Raw genomic sequence first — 20,641 nt, forward strand, 5'->3', positions numbered from 1 at the left:
ATTTTCAGTGTGAAAATCATTTCACACTCTTTGAGTAACCCTCTGTTCATAAATCAGGAACTTCTGAAATGTTTGTTGAATGAATGAATGAGCTTGTCTTTGACAAGAATAAAAAAAAAAGGAATAGCTTGGTTGTAAGGAAGCACTCTAATACCTCCTAGAAAACTCTGAAGCATCCCACGTGGGACACCTTCCCCAGTCCTAGATGGGGTTGATGTACCCCCTCCTGTTCTTCATCCTTTTTTTCTGACCACTGTGAGAGTTCTCAGGGCTTTCTCTGAGACATAGGTGGTCTTGTGAATCTGGAGGGCCAATGAGGAGCAGACTGAGGGATTGCTTGACTCAATGGGTTAGCCAGGAATCCAGCATCTGCCTGCACATATAAAATGCAAATCCCATAATAAATGTTCTTTCAAGGGTTCTTTGTTAAAGCATAATGTGATCATGGTGTGAATGATGAAATGCATTTTATTAATGAAATTATTACCAGCCAGGAGAGAAGTTGTTTAAAAAATGGTTTGCCATTGAAAGTTCTGCAACCTCCGATAAGCAGATTCATTTTCTAAATATTTCAATCCAGAGAATAAGGAGAGGTTAGACAATCTTTAGCATTCACTGGTAAGCTCAAAAATACTTCTGGAAAATAAATTTCTCTGGGAAGCTTTAACATCCAGAGCTCTGGGAAGATGATCAGAGGCTCTGTCTCACTCAGACTCTAACTGTACTTAGCTGGATGACTTTGAGCAGGTCAATGAAGCTCTTGGACTTCAGCTTCTTCATATGAAAAATGAGAAAACTGAACTATAAGATGTCCAAGTTCCATTTTAATTTTAAAATTAGAAAATTAAATAATTCTACTCATTCTAGTTATTAGAATGCCTTAAACATGTGCCATTCATTTCCTGCCAACTCAGGGAAAAAACGGTTTGAATAAAGGGTGTTAATGTTGGTTGTTCCTGAGGCAAATTCTCCCCAAACCTGCCTTCCTTTCTATTTTATTGTATTTTATTTTTGTTTGCTTGTTGGGATCACCCTCACTCATGTTTAAAGAGACCTCTTTTCCTTTCTTTTTCTTTTTTTTTCTTTTTTTTTTTTTTTGAGACAGAGTTTGGCTCCTATCACCCAGGCTGGAGTGCCATGGCGCAATCTCGGCTCACCACAACCGCCGCCTCCTGGGTTCAAGCGATTCTCCTATTGAGAGAATTGGACATGCACCACCTAGTCATACATGGCATGTAACTGCAGAATGGTTTCTGTTCCCAAGGGTTTCACTGCCCAGCTCTTGGTAAAATATTAGCACACACTGGGGAATTGTTAGTGGCTAAACCGTATAGGACTTTGTACCAGAAGGGATGATGACTTTGAATTATTCCTTCAGTTGTTCATTCATTCTCCAAACATTAAGTCTGGTTTCCCTTGACTGCAGGTCCCACTGAGGCATGAACCAAATCTGTCCCATTTGTCAATGTATCCCCAGCACCTAGTGTCATGTGGGGTGCTTAGTAAGGACTCCCAACACCTATTTGTAAAACTAGTGAATAATACCATATGAGAAGCACCTTATCTAGCCTGAGAGGGGCCTTAGAGAATCAGCAGGATAGCAGAATATAGCACAGCCTCTGGAATTTGTCAGGGCTGAGTTTAAGACCCAGCTTGGACATTTATCAAGTAATTGGAGAAATTATTTAACTTCCTCAGGTCTCAGTTTCTCCTTCTGTAAAATGGAGATAATAATGATAACACACAGATAATGGCTTAGAAAATTTGATGATATAGTGTAGGTAAAGTTCTTAGCCTGACATATGTCAGTCCTCAGCAAATACTGCAGCATATTAAAGACCCAGACCAGAGTTATCTGCGGTCATCATTTTCCCCTGATCTCGGAGATACGCTGGTACCTGGATTAACATGCAATTGCCCACATTTCATTTTGAGGGAGAAAGGGTTGGTTCCATATTCTTTACTCCAGTCTGATGGGAAAGACATACATGAAAGTTAACTCATGTCAGGGATCTGATAAAACAAGCAGGCAAGCAAGCAAACAAATGGCTTTTCTAAGCTGTCCTAAGGACCCTCAAAGAATCAGTCTAGACCTCTTCAAGTTCCCCATCTTCAGGGTGGACAATAAAAGTTGATGCCCAGGCATATAGATACTGTAATGTTAGCCATCAGAGAAATATTCTGTTTCAATACAATCCATCAGGGAACTATTCTTTTTCACTCAATTGACTCTCCTTACTAAAGCAAAAATGTAATGTGGATTTAAACATTTCCCACCAATGTTGAGGTTGAGAAGTGGGTCTTGTTATAGACCGAGCCAAAAATGTAACCTGAAAATCCAGTTAAGCATACAAGTTCCCTGGCCTGAGGTGCCCATATGGTTACAATATGGGAGCCTACCTTGTGATTCTTCACAGGCCAAAGTTTGGAAGACAGACGTCTTTATGAAAATATCCCTAGGCCGGGTGCAGTGGCTCACACCTGTAATTCCAGCACTTTGGGAGGCCAAGGCGATGGATCACGGGGTCAGGAGATCGAGACCATCCTGGTTAACCCAGTGAAACCCCGTCTCTACTAAAAATACAAAGAAATTAGCTGGGTGTGGTGGCACATGCCTGTAGTCTCAGCTACTTGGGAGGCTGAGGCAGGAGAATGGCGTGAACCCGGGAGGCGGAGCTCGCAGTGAGCCAAGATCACACCACTGCACTCCAGTCTGGGCAACAGAGCGAGACTCTGTCTCAAAAAAAAGAAAATGTCCCTAAAGCTCACTTGGTGGTTCAGAGAGGGATGATTGGTACTTCCAGAACTGGAAAAGATCACCCTTTCACCCTTTTATGTAATTCCTGATGGGCTTTGCAAACAGAAAGTTGCCTGCACATTGACATTTATCTTTCATTAGCCCCTTGTCCAGTTTTTCCTCTAGGTTTCTGATTATTGAACTCCTAAGTGACCAAAGATTCATGATCATGTGCCCTTAAGATGGCTCAATGCAACCTTGGCCATTGAGTATAAGAAAGAGACAGGATGTACCAGCATCATTGATAAAATGCTGCGTCACTTCATTTCTAATTCAAAATTTTAATTTTATTAAAAAAAAATTGTCTGTGTTGCTATTTGACAGATGATTGACATTTTGCCAGAATCACAAGGCATTTTCCAATAGCACTTTTTGAAACAACAGCAACAATACACTTCAATATGGCAGGAATTCCCTCTTTACTCTTGGAATCATGAGTGAAAACCCTAAAAGCCATACATGAGGCACTTGGCCATGGATTGGCCTCTACTAGTTTAATTTCTTTTCAAGTTAGGGCAGAAAGGGGGCTCACATCACTGAGCTCATAAACAGCACACCTCTGAGGGAGGCATCAGTACCCCCCGTTTTGCAGATGGGGAAACAAGCTTAGCATAGTTATTTCCCCATAATCCGTACTTTTAGTAAATGGCAGAGCCAAGTCTCATATTCAAGAGTGCTTGACTTGGAATCCTATGTTCTTCCCATGAAACTATGCTGTCTTCTGCAGAGAAATTTCTAGCATCTAAAGTATGTAACCAGGCAAAAGAAAAGCTGGGGAAGCCTATCCCCTGCTCTTCTGGGGGAAGGAGAGCTTACCAAGGTACTCATCATTTTTCTTTGTTTGAAAGTAAAAGTTTGGCTGGGCACAGTGGCTCATGCCTATAATCCCAGCAGTTTGGGAGGCCAAAGCAGACAGATCACTTGAGATCAGGAGTTCGAGACCAGCCTGGCCAACGTGGTGAAACCCCATCTCTACTAAAAATACAAAAATTAGCCAGGTGTGGTGCTGCTCGCCTATAACCTCACCTACTTGGGAGGCTGAGGCAGGAGAATCACTTGAACCCGGGGGGCAGTGGGGGTGGAGGTTCCAGTGAGTCGAGATTGTGCCACTGCACTCCAGCCTGGACAACAAAGCAAGACTCTGTCTCAAGAAAAGAAAAAAAAAAGAAAGTAAAAATTTCCCTATGATGTTGAGTATAATTGAACTCTAGTGTATTTGAGGTATGCTATACTGGAGGTATATTTTACATACAGTGACATACACAGTTCATAATTTTACAATAGTGTGATTGTTTAAAAAAAAAGCATACACTTGGTTATCCACATCCCAATAAAAATGAGAAATATTTTCGTCACACTGAAAGTTCCCTCATATCTCCTTCCTTTTAATACCTTAGGTCTACTTCCTCTTCATGAGCATTTTTCACCCTCAAAGTATTTTTCTAATGTCCATGAGTGTGACCAAGTACACAGTGGAGCCTTAACTAAATGTTCCGTAGCCTATACATCATCTTATTAAATGCCCTATTGTCAATGAACTTATAAATGAAAATTCATTATTGTAATAGCTAAGCCCTATCTGAGCTAATGGGAACAGAGGTGACAAAATAATGGTTCCTGCCTTCAAGGCAAACAGCAATGGATTTAATTTGGGGTTCAGATGGCTTCCCTGGAGTCAGCGACTTGTTGGCTTGGTCAGCGTGTGGCCATCCACACAGGAAGAATGGGGGTCGCACCACTATTTCCAGATGACCCTGGCTATGGGGGAGAAGAGAACCGAGTCATCCTGGGTGGGCCCGACTCAGTTTTAACTTCCTCACTCTTCTCTCTTCTGTTGCTCCAATTGTCCCTCTTGTGAGTGATGAGGGGTGTACAGTTCAGATCCACGGGGGGGATGTGGCGATTTGAGCATCCTTTGGCACGCCTGGGGAGGCCAGCCAGAAATGTTTAAATGGGGCCGGATCTGTGCTCTGTAATCATTCAGATGACAGACTGTTCCCTGCGCCTTCACTCAGCCTGATATATCTCTGGAAATAGTGCCAAACTGTTGAGGACTTGGTCTTTCTAGGTAGATGCCTAAGAAAGGAAAGAGCTAGGACCACACGCTGATTGGCCAGGTCTCCAGCCAATGAGGAGAGGTCTCGTGGGTAGGGTTGCCCCACTTTAAGCAAAACCCAATCTTACAGAGAACTATCAAAGAAAATGCGAGGTTGGTGGGGGTTGGGTTGGGTATAGCCTTGGCCAATTCTCAGTATCCTTCATTTTATGAAAGGAGTCATTATGGAATTCTGTTAATAATGTTAGATCTCCCAGGGCTCATTCGGGACATCTGAAAGGGAATTCAATTCGGATAAACTGATTTATAATGAAAACTCCAGGCACACACCTGTTCTGTAAAGCAATGTATTACTCATTATGGGATTCTCAGATAACAAGCTTGATCTCGTTACCGTTTAGAATTTCCCTACCTTAGAAAGGGTGACTCTGTGGATAAAATTGAATGCATTCCTTCATTCAGTCATATTTTCCAAACACAGAATGTGTGTTAGGTACTGTGGTAAGGTAGCCCCCACCCCATGGGGCCTGTCACCCAGCATTTAAAGTCGCAGTCAGTAGAGCCTGTCCCAACCTTGAATCTGGGGCTAATAATGTGCCCCTTTTCAGGAGGGGGATTGCAGTGGAACACGATCAAAGTCTATCTCTTGTCATCAGAGTGTAGTCTTGAGCCAAGGTGAGCTCATATAACTCAAACTTTCCTTTCTTTCTAAGCAGGTTGAAATTTACAGCCAGATTTTCTACCTAAGAATTATCTTTCTGCCTTACGTAACTGAAAATATCTCGGCCTTTTTCAGGAGGCTTCTTTTGATCTTCTGTTGGGTGTTAACGTGAGGCTGCTTCAAGGCCTTGCAGAAAGAGGTACACACATAGCTGCATTTTCACACGTGGCTCCCTTCCCTGTTCCCTGGGTCCCCTGAGGCCTGTCCCTGCTTGGAGGCTGCAGCAGGGGCAGCCAACAGCACCTGGGTGTGAGGGCATAGTGAACATGGGTGCCCTGCAAACAGATCATCAGCATTTCTTGATTGTTATTTTTTTAGGAAGTTCTGATGGTGACTGGGCAGTATCGACACTTAAGTCACCAAAAGGTACTGTACAGCTTTTTCTAGCTCTTTTGTCCAGGTGTTGTCAAAGTTAGCATTAAATAATGAAGGGATAGAGAGTCCTGGTGTCTGTGTGACCTGTGCACATGTGTGTCTGCATAGGGTGGCATCTGCAAGTCCGTCTAAGTTCCAGTGTGTAGGTGTTTGTGTGTTTGTGTGTGTGTGTGTGCATCTAGCAATTGTTGGACAACGTGGTAGCCCTCACTTCCCAATATTTGCTGCCTGATGGAAAATATCACTATGAGAAATCATGCCAGGTAAGGTGAAATATGTTGATTTTTCTCAGAAAGCTGCAATGGCAAATGGCAAAACACAAGGTTAATTAATGGGGGCGGGGCGGGGGAAGAACACAGCTTCTGAGGGAGAGAAAAACATAATCAAGTTATTGGCCAAGGGTCTTGGGAATGACTAGCCTTTTAGAGAACAGAATGCTATTTTCAACTTTCCTGGGACAGCGTGGTGAGCAGAGAGGGTTAGGAAGTTGGTCGACTTGAGTCTGTGAGTTAACCCAGCTGGGTGACCAGACCAGGTGGCAGCTATCATTAATTAGCGCCCTACTATGTGCCAGAGGACTGGCCCTTTACATCATTTTATCATTTAATTCTATGATGATCAGGCTGTGTAGGCATTGTCATCTGCATTTAGAAATGAGGACATGATGTCTAAGTATGGATAAGTCTTGCTGGTCTAGAGTCATGTGACTATTCAGTGGTAGATCTGCAGTTTGAACCTCTATCAGTCTGACCCTTATTCTAAGCTATTTTCCACTAGGGTGTAATGGAAGCAGCTCTTTTTAGAATAGACCAGAAACACCCTTCTCCATATGCTTTGTTGGACTTGGTGGAGAAGTAACTGACCTAAGGAGGTGGAGGTAGAACTATTTATCTATTTATTTATTTATGAGACAGAGTCTCACTCTGTCACTCAGGCTAAAGTGCCGTAGTGCGATCTTGGCTCACTGCAACCTCCTCCGCCTCCCAGGTTCAAGGGATTCTCCTGCTTCAGCCTTCTGAGTAGCTGGGATTACAGGCACATGCCACCGTGCCCAGCTAATTTTTGAATTTTTTTTTTTAGTAGAAACGGGGTTTCACCGTGTTGGCCAGGCTGGTCAAAATCCTGACCTCAGATGACCCACCTGCCTTGGCCTCCCAAAGTGCTGGGATTACAAGCATGAGCCACCATGCCTGGCCAGTAGAACTCTTTAATGAGCTCGAACTGGGGAAAATTAGGAGACATTGCCAGGATATCAGCAAGAAACTGGTGTATTAGTCTGTTTCAATGCTGCTGATAAAGACATACCCAAGACTGGGCAATTTACAAAAGCACAAGGTTTATTGGACTCACAGTTCCACGTGGCTGGGGAAGTCTCACAATCAGGGCAGAAGGGAAGGAGGAGCAAGTCACATCTTATGTGGATAGCAAAGGGAGAGCTTGTGCGGAGAAACTCCCATTTTTAAAACCATCCGATCTTGTGAGACTCACTCACTCTCACAAGAACAGCACAGGAAAGACCCACCTCCATAATTCAATCATCTCCCACCGGGTTCCTCCCACAACACCTGGGAATTGTGCGAGTTGCAATTCAAGATGAGATTTGGGTGGGGGCACAGCCAAACCATATCAATAGTTGTGGCCATTTTTTTTTTGCCGTTTCAAAAGATTATTCTGGCTTCTAAGTGGAGACTGGATTAGGGGACTGTGGACTAGAGTTGCAGACACCCACTGGAAGGCTCTTGCAGGTGGGTGGTGACCTGCACTGAGGTGGGTAGAGGATGGAGAGAAGAAAATGGGAGTGGAAGGATCATTGAGAGACTACAAAAAGTACTGAGTGAGGAGGGGGAGGGATCATGAGACCAATGGTTCTCACGTTGTAACCAGCTTGAGCACACATCAGCATCACTTGGAGGGTTGTTACAAACCCAGATTCCTGGGCCTTACCCAGGAGCACCTGATTCACTAAGCCTTGGCTCAGAAACATCCTGAGTTGTTGCAGGGAGGAGAGTGCATTCTATTCCCTCATTGGGAAAGAGAGCTTTACATCAGTGTATTTAATGAGAATCCCCTGACTACCTGGCTGTTGCCTTCAGAGAGACAGATTTTTGGGTTTTGCATTAGATAATAAGTATTCACATGTCAAAGTCCATTTTTAGAAATGCAAACAATTTGGAACATGACAGACCTCCTAATTTGAGGCATTAACTTCTTTTTTCCCTCCCTGTGAAAAACAAAGCCGTTATGATCTCTGTGACAGCATTTGGAGGCAGCCTGCATTTCTGTCCTTATATCATCCTTTTGTTGTCAGATGCATTTAGAACATATTTCAGTTTAGGTTAAAAGCAAGGAGCTGTTTTCTACCCAAACCAAGCTAACTTCACCTGTCCTGCTAAAGGCACCTTTATCCTGCCTTGTCGGGGGAGAGGAAAAGTGGTCCCAGTGAGAACCAAGTTCCTCTGGGGTCATTGGTCTGCCTCTAGTGTTCTCTACTCAACCTCTAGACCCAGACTCTAGATGAGGTATGGTAGCAAGGTTAGGGAGTTTGTGTGCCCCCACCTTCCACATCCTGCCACTTTCTTAAAAGGGAGAGAGACAGGCTGGGTGCGGTGTCTCACACCTGTAATCCCAGCACTTTGGGAGGCTGAGGTGGGCAGATCACCTGAGGTCAGGAGTTTGAGACCAGCCTGACCAACATGGTGAAACCCTGTCTCTACTAAAAATACCAAAATTAGCCAGGCGTGGTGGCACGTGCCTGTAGTCCCAGCTACTCAGGAGGCTGAGGCAAGAGAATCGCTTGAATCCGGGAGATGGAGTTTGCAGTGAGCCAAGATCATGCCACTGCACTCCACCCTGGGCGGCAGAGCGAGACTCTGTCAAAAAAAAAAAAAAAAAAAAAAGAGAGAGACAATTTGGATATGATGGGCTTAGACTCAGGCATATATGGGTTCCAATACAGGCACCATCATTTGCTAGTCTTGTTGTCTTCAACCTCTCTGATCCCCTATTTTCTGATCTGCAAAATGGAGACCATCATATCACCTACCTCCTAGGTCGTTGTGAGATAAGGTGTTGAAAACACGTGTCATAGTACCTGGCATATGGAAAGTAATAAATGCATGCAGTTCATTACTGGTATTAGTAGTACTGTTATTATCAGATGAGCAAATTAAAGGCTCTGAAAAGCCTTGTGGTAATAAAAACTGGTGAACTCTTTTTAACCCACCATTTCCCAAACACTTTTGACATCTGATCTCTTTGCTCTTAAGGAAGACCGATGAACATCTTAACATTCAGTGGCATGAATGTTGCTGGGAACCTACTTTGGGAACATAGGGCGTGGGCAGAGAAGTAGGTAGAGGTGCAGATGTCACTGGGGAGCAGTGGGGGAGATGGGAAAAGGAAGAGGTAGCTGTCAAGGGGAAAGGACAAGGTCCTTGAAGATACAAGTTTCTTACTGCCACCTGCATTGATAATGACTCCCTTTGGAGTGTGTCTGCCAGGACAGGAAATGATAAACATCATGCTAGTTGGTACGATTTATTTTTCACCACCTAGGGCTTCCCATGCAAGTTGCCCCCTAGTGGTCACTGCTATTGATCCACCCACGCCCAGCCTTGGAAACAACTGTCACACCATTTTAAAATCCACCCACCTGTCACACCTGTTTAAAGTCCACCCTGGGCTGGGCGCGGTGGCTCACGCCTGTAATCCCAGCACTTTGGGAGGCCGAGGTGGGCGGATAACGAGGTCAGAGGATCGAGACCATCCTGGCTAACACGGTGAAACCCCATCTCTACTAAAAATACAAAAAAAAAAAAAATTGCAGGGAGTGGTGGCGGGCACCTGTAGTCCCAGCTACTCGGGAGGCTGAGGCAGGAGAATGGCGCGAACCCGGGAGGTGGAGCTTGCAGTGAGCAGAGATCTTGCCACTGCACCCCAGCCTGGGTGACAGAGTGAGACTCCGTCTCAAAATAAATAAATAAATAAATTAATTAATTAAAATAAAATCCACCCTGGAAGACACCATCTCAAGACCAGCAGACTGTCTTCACCAAGATGAAGCCGTGTCTTTGGAAATCTGTTTATTTTGCAAACAGAAACTTTAAACTTAAGCCCAGTGCTACAGCAAGGCAATCAAATTAGGAGAAACTGCCAGCATAGACTGCAGTGTAATCTCTCTGCTTCTGACTAGAATCAGCCTGCGTCCCCCTTTCCAAGCTACATACATGCTCCACGCTCCCATTTCTACCATTGCTCCAATAGAGGAAATCAGAGAATGTACTCTCTGTAGGTTTTGCACAGGGCTTGGCTTGGTATATAATAGGTGCTAAATAAGAGTAAAAGAGGCCAGTACTCACAAAGTCTCCATTTATCTCTGCTTTGGAGATAGCTCTTAGTCATCCTGATGGAATCTTTCAGAAGGAAATACACTTCACTAGGCCGGGCGTGGTGGCTCATGCCTGTAATCCCAGCACTTTGGGAGGCCGAGGTGAGCAGATCACTTGAGGTAAGGAGTTCGAGACCATCCTGGCTAACATGGAGAAACCTCATCTCTACTAAAAATTGAAAAATTAGCCAGGTACAGTGGCATGTGCCTGTAGTCCCAGCTACCTGGGAGGCTGAGGCAAGAGAATGGCTTGAAACGTGGAGGCAGAGGCTGCAGTGAGCCAAGAACATGCCACTGCACTCCAACCTGAGAGAGAAGGAAGGAAGGAAGGGAGGGAGGGAGGGAGGGAAGGAAGGTAGGAAGGAAGGAAGGAAAAAAAGAAGGAAGGAAAGACATTTCACCTAGCTTTTCTGCTTTTATACATGAGGAAACTGGGGTTTCCTAAAACCGCAAAAGAAAAGTACGTCACAACAGGACCAGGGTCCAGACCTCAAAGAGGGGCTTGAGGACTTGACCCAGAATCACTGGAGACGCTTGTTACAAATGTAGATCCTGGGCCCACTCACTCCTAAGGAATTAGAACATCTGAGTGTCGTGTCCCAGTATTCATTTTTAAAATGCACCTCCTGGGTGATTCTTATGTACATTAGAGTTTAGACCTAGCTTTTCCTAATCCCCCACCCTAGATGCAATCGCAGTTTGCGACACAGCATCCGTTTACATACCGGCGTTCTTCCCAATGTATTTTTGCTGTTTGCTGAAATAAAACTGTTTTCTTAGTGGTGATTTGAGCTGGGGCCACAGCTGGACGGTAACAGCATTGAAAGTGGATAGTGTTGGGTTTGGTTTCTTGCTCTGCCACTTATTGGCAGTGACAGAGTAATTTGTCAGCCAAATTATTTAACATCTCTGGACCTTAGTTCCTTCATCTGTCACGTGGAAAGAATGATATTGCCTGCCATGTCTCTTTAAGAGGGTTTAAATGAGACAATGTACGTAAAATCGCTAAACCAGTGTCTAGCCCATAGTAGGTACTCAGTACATGCTAGTTCTTTCCTTCTTCTAAGAAAATTGACTTAGCCCAATGAGAAATGCTCATGCAGGAGGCACAAGACAATAGACAATGTGCAATAGGGTTACAGTTCCATTGGAGTGCATGCATCCTATAGACCATCCCAGGGGAGGGAACACCCATCGAAAGGCAGCTTTAAAACATTACTTCATGAAATTTGGGCTTTTGCAATTTCCTGATTTTGGTTATTGGTTTGGTCATGAGCCGCCGGGTGCAAAGCAGGTGGAAGACAGGAGGGTGATGTGAGGTGAAGTTTTTTAATAAAAATCAAATCCTACTCGCTCCTGAGTTCAGTCCCCTTTGAAAAGCACACAGCAAGTGCTGGGATTTTGATGAGCTTCCTTGGGAACCCATAGGGCATGAAATGAATGCGCAAAGAGGGTTCTCTGGTTTGTAGAAAATGCTCTTGCATCAAGATTGCAATAAACATTTGACTAGTTTGGCCGTGTGTCCTTCCGAGGCTAACCCAGCCAGATCCTGTTCATTCCAAAGCCATCTTGCGTGACACTCACAGCACACACAGTAGGCAATCAACATATATTTTGTTAATAAATTATTAAATGAAACTGGGCATAGTGTTCAAAGGAAATTTTGTCTTTTCTGAAAAGGTACTGGGAAATGAGAATCAACCAGAGGGAAGTCTGGAAACCTGTATTCTAGACCCAATACTGGTTTATCCATGTGACAGTCTTTGAGCTTGGTATATAACAGGTGCTAAAATTTCCTCTCCTGAAAGATGGAAAGCTTGAGACTATTAATTTTTTTGCCCCCTGAGCCTCTGTAAGTAAATATCCCAGGTTTTGCTCTGATTACCTTACCTTGTCATGTGCCCACCTCTGAACAAATTTGTAGGAGGAGGGCAAAGAAATGGAGAATGCCTGGGGCATGGGGAAGTGGAGGGATATGACATCCAAACCACATGGATTAGGAATAGGAGAGAGGCTTTGGGAGGCCGAGGTGGGCAGATCACCTGAGGTCAGGAATTCAAGACCAACCTGGCCAACAGAGATGGTGAAATTGTCTCTACAAAAATACAAAAATTAGCTGGGCATGATAGTGGGTGCCTGTAATCTCAGCTACTCAGGAGGCTGAGGCAGAAGAATCACTTGAACCCAGGAGGCGGAGGTTGCAGTGAGCCAAGATCACGCCACTGCACTCCAGCCTGGGTGACAGAGTGAGACTCCATCTCAGAAAAAGAAAAAAAGAATAGGAAAGAGATGCATCTCACCTGAAAATTGGGGGCTCTTCTTGGAAGTATGGTGAGTGAATGATTGGCATTTTTATCAGTCAGCTACTGCCACAATAACACTGCGTAACAAATAACCTCAAATCTCATTGCTTAAAATGTATTTAGACCAGCATTTATTTAGATCAGGAGTCTATATTCCAGTGATTTCAGCTGATGTGGGAGGTTCTTCTTATCTCAGGTGATTTCACCCATCTCTCTGGGAGTTGGCTGGATGTTGGGTGATCTAGGCTGGTTTTAACTGGAATGACTTGGGTGACTTGACTCTGCTCCATGTGCCTCATCCTCAAATAAGGCAGCCCAGATATGGTCTCATGAGGGTGGGAGAGGTGCAAGAGAGAAATTCAAACCAGCAAGCACTTCTCCAAATGCCTGTATGTCTCATGTCTGCTAACATCTCTTAGTCACACGGAACAGAGTGTAGAGATGGAGAAAGTCAAAGAATTGATTCATGCATTAATCTAACATAGGATCCCAAATCTCATAATTATCTACATTGACATGGTCCCAGGAAACTACAGCCAAGAGGAAGGTGACAAGTAGGGCTTAGAATTCTTTCCCTTAATTTGCTTCATTTAGAAAACCACCAGTTGTATGAAATTTCACCAGCTGGGAGGATGATTGGAAGACAGACCATGCAATGAATTTCTGGAAAAAAAAAATCTCTATCTATATAGCAGCAATGCACAGGAAGGCAGTGAGTGGATGCAGTTCCATCCAGAACCCTGTGTGGGAATCGGTGGGAGGGGATCTGTGCTCAGCCATGGCTGGAGAATGAGCCTGTCCACCGTTGTCCAGTAGCCTTTCAGAAGATGTTGACTGCACAGCAGGACTGCCTAAGTGAAGAGAGAAAGGGCCTGAGGTTTCAGAGGGCTCCTGGCAGCCACAACAAAGGGGGCCCATGGTACAGGCTGGACAGCTTTGTTGCAAAGCCCAAGCCAGGGGCTGTTTTAGAATTCTCCCTAGCAAAGGCTCCCTCCTCACTCTGGATTAATAGTTTGCCTATATATGGGATTTTAGAAAAAAAAAAAATCACAGTACCACCGCCTGTTGGGAGCCTTCAGGGTTAAGACTAAAAAAGGGCCAGGCTCCTGGACGCCTTTTTCCGGTTTTCTCTCTTAGAGCAATATGGCTTTGGGAAAGATATGGTGCCCCGTGGGGAGGGCCAGATGCCCCGTGCTTCTTTAGGACCTGGTTCATGTGCAGCCTCCGCTACTTGTGTCTCTGCAGCAAGGCCCGGAGGCAGGTGAAGTGCAACTAATTCACCATAAAGACAAATCTTCCATCTACTCCCTGGTCCTCTCCTGCTTAGGAAACTCAGGCTTTTTTTTTCCTGCCTTTCTTGTTTCTGTCTGCTGAGACAGCCTCTGGAATCTGCACAACTTTATACCATGTAGTTCAAAAGAAGAGAGAAATACCTGGACTTTTTTTTTTTTTTTTTTTAACAACATGAACTCTTTCCCTATCACTTTTTAATTCAGCTTGTGAAGAAGAAGAAAGCAGAGACCGAGAAAACGGTCCTATATAAGTTAAATACTGTTTTACGGTACTAAAATGTCCCACAAATACAGTGCTTAAGAGAAAGAAGTATTTCTTTTTTAAACAACTTTATTGAGATATGATTCACCTATCATACAATTCACCCATTTAAAGTGTAAAATCCAGTGGTTTTCAGAATGTTCACAGAATTGTGCAACCATCATTACAGTCAATATTAGAACATTTTCCTCATCCCAGAAAGAAACTCTATAACCATTAGTAGACATTTTCCATCTCTTACTGTCTTAGCAGTCCTCTCCCAGCTAACCCCTGGTTCAAGCAATGACTTGCCTATTTTGTGTCTTTATATATTTGCCTGTTTTGGATATAGCTGTCTCATGTGATAGACCTGTATTAGTTTGTTTTCATGCTGCTGATAAAGACATACCCGAGACTGGGTAGTTTATAAAGGAAAGAGGTTCAATGGACTCACAGTTCCACATGGCTGGGGAGGCCTCACAATCATGGTGGAAGGCCAAGGGGAAGCAAAACACGTCTTACATGGCAGCAGGCAAGAGAGTGTGTGCAGGGGAACTCCCCATTATAAAACCATCAGATCTCATGAGACTTATTCATTATCACAAGAACAGCACAGGAAAAACCCACCCCCATGATTCAGTTACCTCCCACCAGGTCCCTCCCACCAGGTCCCTCCCAAGACACTTGGGAATCATTATAATTCAAGGTGAGATTTGGGTGGGGATACAGCCAAACCATATCATGACCCAAGGAGAGTAATCCAGGTTGGTGGGCAGCTCTACTCCGAGTGGTCACTCCAGGACCCAGGTTCCTCCAACCTTGTTGCACTATGACTCTTACCATCTTGTCCTCATCTGCATTGTTATAGTTGGTTGCTGTCACTGTGTAATTCTGGCCTGGGGGAAGAGGGAAGAGAGGAGACCTAGAACAAGGATTTCTTTTTTTAAAGCAAGTCAGGTAAAGCAGAAATAGGACACATCACTTTTGCTATTATTTCACTGGTGCGATATCAGTCTCATGGCCAAATGTGGCTTCCAGGAAGGCTGGTAAATCTAGTTCTGAGTTGAGTGACCATGTGTCCAAGAAAAAGAAGGTAGACTAAATCTGATCTGGGAGATAAGAAGCAGGCAGCCACAGCATCTTCTCTGATGGGAATGTACATTTCAGGAGATGTACCATGCACTATGCATAATGTTCTGAGTTTTCGCAAGCCTTGTCTCGTTTACTTCTACACTGCACTCCACAAGGTGTGTGTGTATGTATATATATATATATATATACATACACACACCACAAGGTGTATATCCACAAGGTATATATAACATTATCCTAATTTTATAATCTTTATATTTTCTGATGACGACAGAAATAGCAGTTACTACCCTTTGGATACTTGCTATGAGGCAATGACATTGGCCTTTTTTCAGGATGCAACGTCCTCTACACGATTCTCTTCAATACTCTCCATCCCCAGGCCACATAGGCCTGGTTATTTTAGTTTCAATTTTATAGGTGAAGCTTAGAGATTTGAACCCAGATCCATCTGCTGTCAAAGTTTATACTCTTTCCTCCATATGGTAAAGAAGATTTTGTAGTCACAAAAGTCAGACATGGCTGGGTGCGGTGGCTCATGCCTGTAATCCCAGTACTTTGGGAGGCTGAGGCAGGAGGATTGCTTGAGCTCAGGAGTTTGAGACAGGCCTGGACAACATAGTGAGACACCCTTCTCTACAAAAATAAAAACAAAAATAGCCAGGCATGGTGTTGCATGGCTATAGTCCTAGATTCTCGGGAGGCTGAGGTGGGAGGATCACTTGAACCCAGGAGGGTCAAGTCAGTAGTGAGCTCTGATCATGCCACTGCACTTCAGCCTGGGTGACAGAGTGAGATGTGCATATTTCCAAACTTTGTTATCTGTCATATAAAACTGGTGCATTGAATCCTTCAAACTCCCAGCCATATTAACTCCTCTTTCCTTCTCAACATTCCCAGATCTCATTTCTTGTTTTTCAAGACTGGGGGCTCTACCATAGCTTTCAAGAGCCTAGTGTAGGATTCAAAACCAACACGTTGGTTCTTTGTCATCATTTGTATCAGTCTGTTCTCATGCTGCGAATAAAGATGTACCTGAGACTGGGTAATTTATAAAGGAAAGAGGTTTGATGGACTGACAGTTCCACTTGGCTGGGGAGGCCTCAAAATCATGGTGGAAGGCCACGGAAGAGCAAAAGCATGCCTTACATGGCAGCAGGCAAGAGAGGGCATGTGCAGAGGAATTCCCCTTTATAAATATTGTCAAAGAAGCAATATTCATTGTCCATTGCAGGCAATGTAGAATGCCTACATTGCAATATTCTATACTGCAGGCAAAAGCTTCCATAAATATTGAGTGTGATGGCCATAACTTGAGGCAGTGGAGCCAGGTGTCCTGGGTTCAAGTCTCAGCTCCATTTGTTGGATAAACAGCCAAAGCTCTCTGAGCCTCAGTTTCCCTACTTATAAAATAAAACCAATGGTAACACCTACCTCATTAGGATGTTGAGAGTATTGAAGGGGATAGCAAATGTAAATTCCTAGTGAAGGCAGTAGCATAGAACACACACTTAAGAAAGGTGAGCAATTACTCAGTTTGCCATTGACAAGAGTGGGGAAATAGAGAGGAAGTCCCTGTCTCTACTCAGACTTCTGATATACCCAAACAGTCTCTTTAATCAATCCCTGCCTTCTTCACCTGACTTTATTCTACCTCCCTTCCCCCGAGCTAGGTCTGCTAAAGAGTATCCAGGTCTCTGCAAATTCTCAGACAGGAAAATGGATCCTAGTTCGCCTGTCTGCGACATAAAAGCACTTAACCTGAGCTCCAGCCCTTCAATCCCTGTAAAGAACAGATGACTCAGTCTTCGGTGATACAGACTGAATGACCAGGAGATGTAATATCCTGCCCATTTCTCATATTTCAGGGACTGTCATTGGAACTGGAATATCATCAGTGCTTTCCTTCTTTCATCACGTGCATATTATTGCACGCCTGCTGTATACCAGGCACTGGGCTGGACGTTGAGGATACAGCAGTGAGCAGAACAGACACAACCTCTGCCCTAAGTGGAGCTTTATATTCTGGTTAAGGGAGACAGAGCATACACAAGTAACCAAAAAAGATAACTTTATATAGTAATATGAGCTATGAACATATTAAAATAGGGATAGGTCATCAGAGCCATTGGTGGAGGTGTCTTCTTTGGGTATTAGGAGGGTTTTTCAGGAGGTAGCCTTTGGTCACAGGTCCAGATGACAAGTAGTATTTAGGCAGAGGAAACAGCAGGGATGATGTCCAAAGGTCCTGAGATGGTGACAAGCTTGGCGTGTTCAGGAACAGAAAGGAATCTCATGTATAGTGGAATAGTACCCCCCTAAATCCTTGTCCATTCAGAACCTCAGGCTGGGAATGCACATGGAAATAGAGTCTTTGCAGAGGTCATTGAGTTGAGGATATATTGAATTAATGTGGGCCCTAATCCTGTGGCTGATATCCTTATAAGAAGGGAGAAATTTGGACACATAAACACACGCACACACACATACACACACATGGAAAATGGCCACGTGAAGTCCAAGGCAGAGATTGGAATGATGTAGCTTACAAGGCAAGAGATGCCAAGGATTGCCAGCAACCACCAGAAATTCGAAGAGGCAAGAATGGATCCTCTAGCAGAGCCTTCAGATGGAGCATGGCCCGGCCAACTTCTGGCCTTTGGAACTGCAAGAGAATGTATTTCTGTTGTTTTAAGCCATCAAGTTTGTGGTACTTTGTGATGGCAGCTTTAACAAACGAACACACACTGTGATGTGTTCACAATAGGTATGGAGCAGAGGAGGGTGCATAAGTAGCTAGAGTCCACGTCAAACAGACCTCAGGGACCACTGCAAAGAATTTGGATTTTGTTCTTAAGTGTAATGAGAAGATTAATTGCTGTCTTTTATCATACCCTTGAGCGAAAGGCAGAAACCGATGAGGAAATGTGAAAGCTTTGGTTGGGGCATTGCTTACCAGGTGAAATCCATCACCTGTGACCCAGGAATATTACCAAGAAAGAATGAGTGGTAGGAACCCCTCCCTAAGATATCTTTGCCTCAAGGAAAGGAGGTAGGTGGGAGGCTGCCTGCTGAGACCCTCAGATGTGCAGCTTGTTTTGGGAACTGGTTATTACCTTGACGTTCTCCCTTTCCACGGAAGCCAGGCTCCATCCCGCCCCGCACCTGTACAAGTGTCTGCTGCTAATTAAGAGAGAGACAGATGGAGGAAGGTATAGTTTAATTTTACAGCCCCAGTTTCTTCAAGGCAATTAGGGTCATTAGAAGGAAAGCACCTTTTCCTTTCTTCTTCTTCTTTTGTAAATGAAGAAAAGTCAAATAGGAGAGGGCCAGTGTTGTTGAAAGGCTCACACATCTGTTTCCTGGTCAGTTTGTCAGCCATCTGCCCACGAGGTACCGGGGCTGATTAGGTTAATGCATTTATTAATGGGGCTTACAAGACTGTTCAATGAATCTGTTATTCTTTTGCAAGTAGCTTTTTAATATACTAAGACAGGGACTACACTGCACAAAGCCAAGAGTGGCTAGATAAGCATTTCTTTCCCCTCACCTGGCTCCAAACCAGAGGGGAACAGAAACATTATGAAAACAGGTTTTCATGAAAACTGCACTTCCAGGTAATGGAAATGATTCATCCATCTAACCTCTAACCACCTCCTTGTTGTTGAAATAATCTTGAAAATATCTCTTTGGAGGATAGTTTCATGCACCAGGCACCAGTTCAGTGCCTACACTGTGCTTCTCTAAGAGACCACCTGAGTCCTAGGGTGGGAGAATGGTTAGTTAAATGAATAGGCATGAATGATATAATCTTGCCTATAGGACATTAGATGGCCTGAGGATCCCTTGCCTTCTTCATCTATAACTCAGATATCCTTTCAGGTTCTTGAAGCTACTCGGCTCCTTCTCACCTCAAAGCTTTTGCAAATGCTGTCATGTATCAGTTATCAACTGCTGCATAACAAATGACTCCAAATCTTAGTTGCTGAGCATAGCAACCATTTATCGAGATCATGATTCTGGGTCAACGGAGAAGTTCTTGTTTGGGCTGGATTGGCTCCTCTCAGTTGGATTTTCTTGGTATCTGGGTCTGCTGTTAGGTGGCTGATGGTCTAAGATGGCCTCACTGAACATACTGCAGTTAGCAGTTGGTTAGTTGTGTTGAACAGGGGTAACTGGTCTATGGGTTTCTCATCCTCCAGGAGTCTAGGGGATCCCTTCTTCACATGGAGGCAGATTTCAAGAGCCTTAGAGTAGAAGTTGCTAGAATCTACTGGTCCAAGCTCACCATAATGCCAGGACATATTCAAGGCATGGGGAAATAGATTCCACTTCTTGATGGTAAGAGCTGCAAAGTATTTTGGTCATTCTTGGAATATGCCACATATTCCCTCACGTGGGTTGCTCTTTCTGTTACTCTTCACCTTCTGATCTCAGCTTAAAGAGTTCTTTCTCAAGAGGCAGGATGAATGCCTGCCTCTCTAGTAGAATGTTTATTCCAGGATGGCAGGAACCATGTCTGCTTCTGTTTCTGATTGTCTTTCGTATTTCAAGTGTCCAGCATATGGTGGGTACCTGTTTGATGAATGACTAAATGATTGAACAAACAGCTCGAAGACTGCAGCATGGAGAATGGATTACAGGAGGTGAAACAAGGCAAGGAGGCCAGTTTGGTTACTGAAGTAGAACAATGTTCAAAGGGGGTAGGAGAAAGGGAATAGGTTAAGGAAATATTTGTTAGATATAGCTGGAAGGACTTGTTGGTTTGACAGTTGTGCTGCAAGAGAAGAGGAGAATGAAGTCAACCATTGCTCCCAAATTTCTGGCATAAGTGGCTAAGGAGTGAGTGGTCCCACGTGAGATGTAAGGAAAAGGCTGAAGAACAGATCTGAGTAATGTTGCTGGGTTCAGGGATGACAACCTTGGGCCAGAGATGCTATTGAATCTGTCCGGGAGGTAACTGGATATATAAATTTTGAAGTCTAAAGGGGAATCTTAGATTATTTTTCTGTTGAAGTTTCATGGCACTGGAAATCTTGAACTTTCCTCTAAAAGGCAGGAAAATAGGTTCAAATCCCAGCTGTAATGTTAGCTTGTGCTACCTTAAACAATAAAGCTTCCCTGACCACCAACTCCCTCCTGATCAGATCAAGGCCCCTTTGTGTGCCCTTTCATGGAGTAAACTAGGCACTCAACAAACATGGTGGGTGGAAGAAGGAAAGAAGGGAGACAGAAAAGAAGGCAGCTTGGTTTGGATGAATGCCTGCTTTGTGCCTAGTAAGTTGCCTACCATAGAGTAAGTGTTCAAACAATGTCTGTCAAATTTAATCCAGGGCTTCTTTCTTAAGGCAGGGAATAGGTAAAATATAGGTATTGA

The 20,641-nt window shown here is 44.0% G+C and overlaps 1 protein-coding gene across 6 annotated transcripts in view; it reads left to right on the forward strand.

The window, feature by feature from the left end:
- The window catches only part of SHISA9 (shisa family member 9), a 661,420-nt gene that overhangs the window by 305,763 nt on the left and 335,016 nt on the right, over positions 1–20,641 (forward strand). Inside the window, exon 4 of one of the 6 annotated variants that reach the window (NM_001145204.3) lies at positions 5,893–5,940. The exons of the other annotated variants lie outside the window; for them this stretch is intronic. Within the exon in view, the coding sequence (NP_001138676.2) occupies positions 5,893–5,940 (48 nt within the window). The remainder of the gene's footprint in view (positions 1–5,892; positions 5,941–20,641) is intronic. 6 annotated transcript variants of the gene reach the window in all.

The sequence above is a fragment of the Homo sapiens genome, chromosome 16 (genome assembly GCF_000001405.40).
Source record: "Homo sapiens chromosome 16, GRCh38.p14 Primary Assembly".
Classification (NCBI taxonomy): domain Eukaryota; kingdom Metazoa; phylum Chordata; class Mammalia; order Primates; family Hominidae; genus Homo; species Homo sapiens.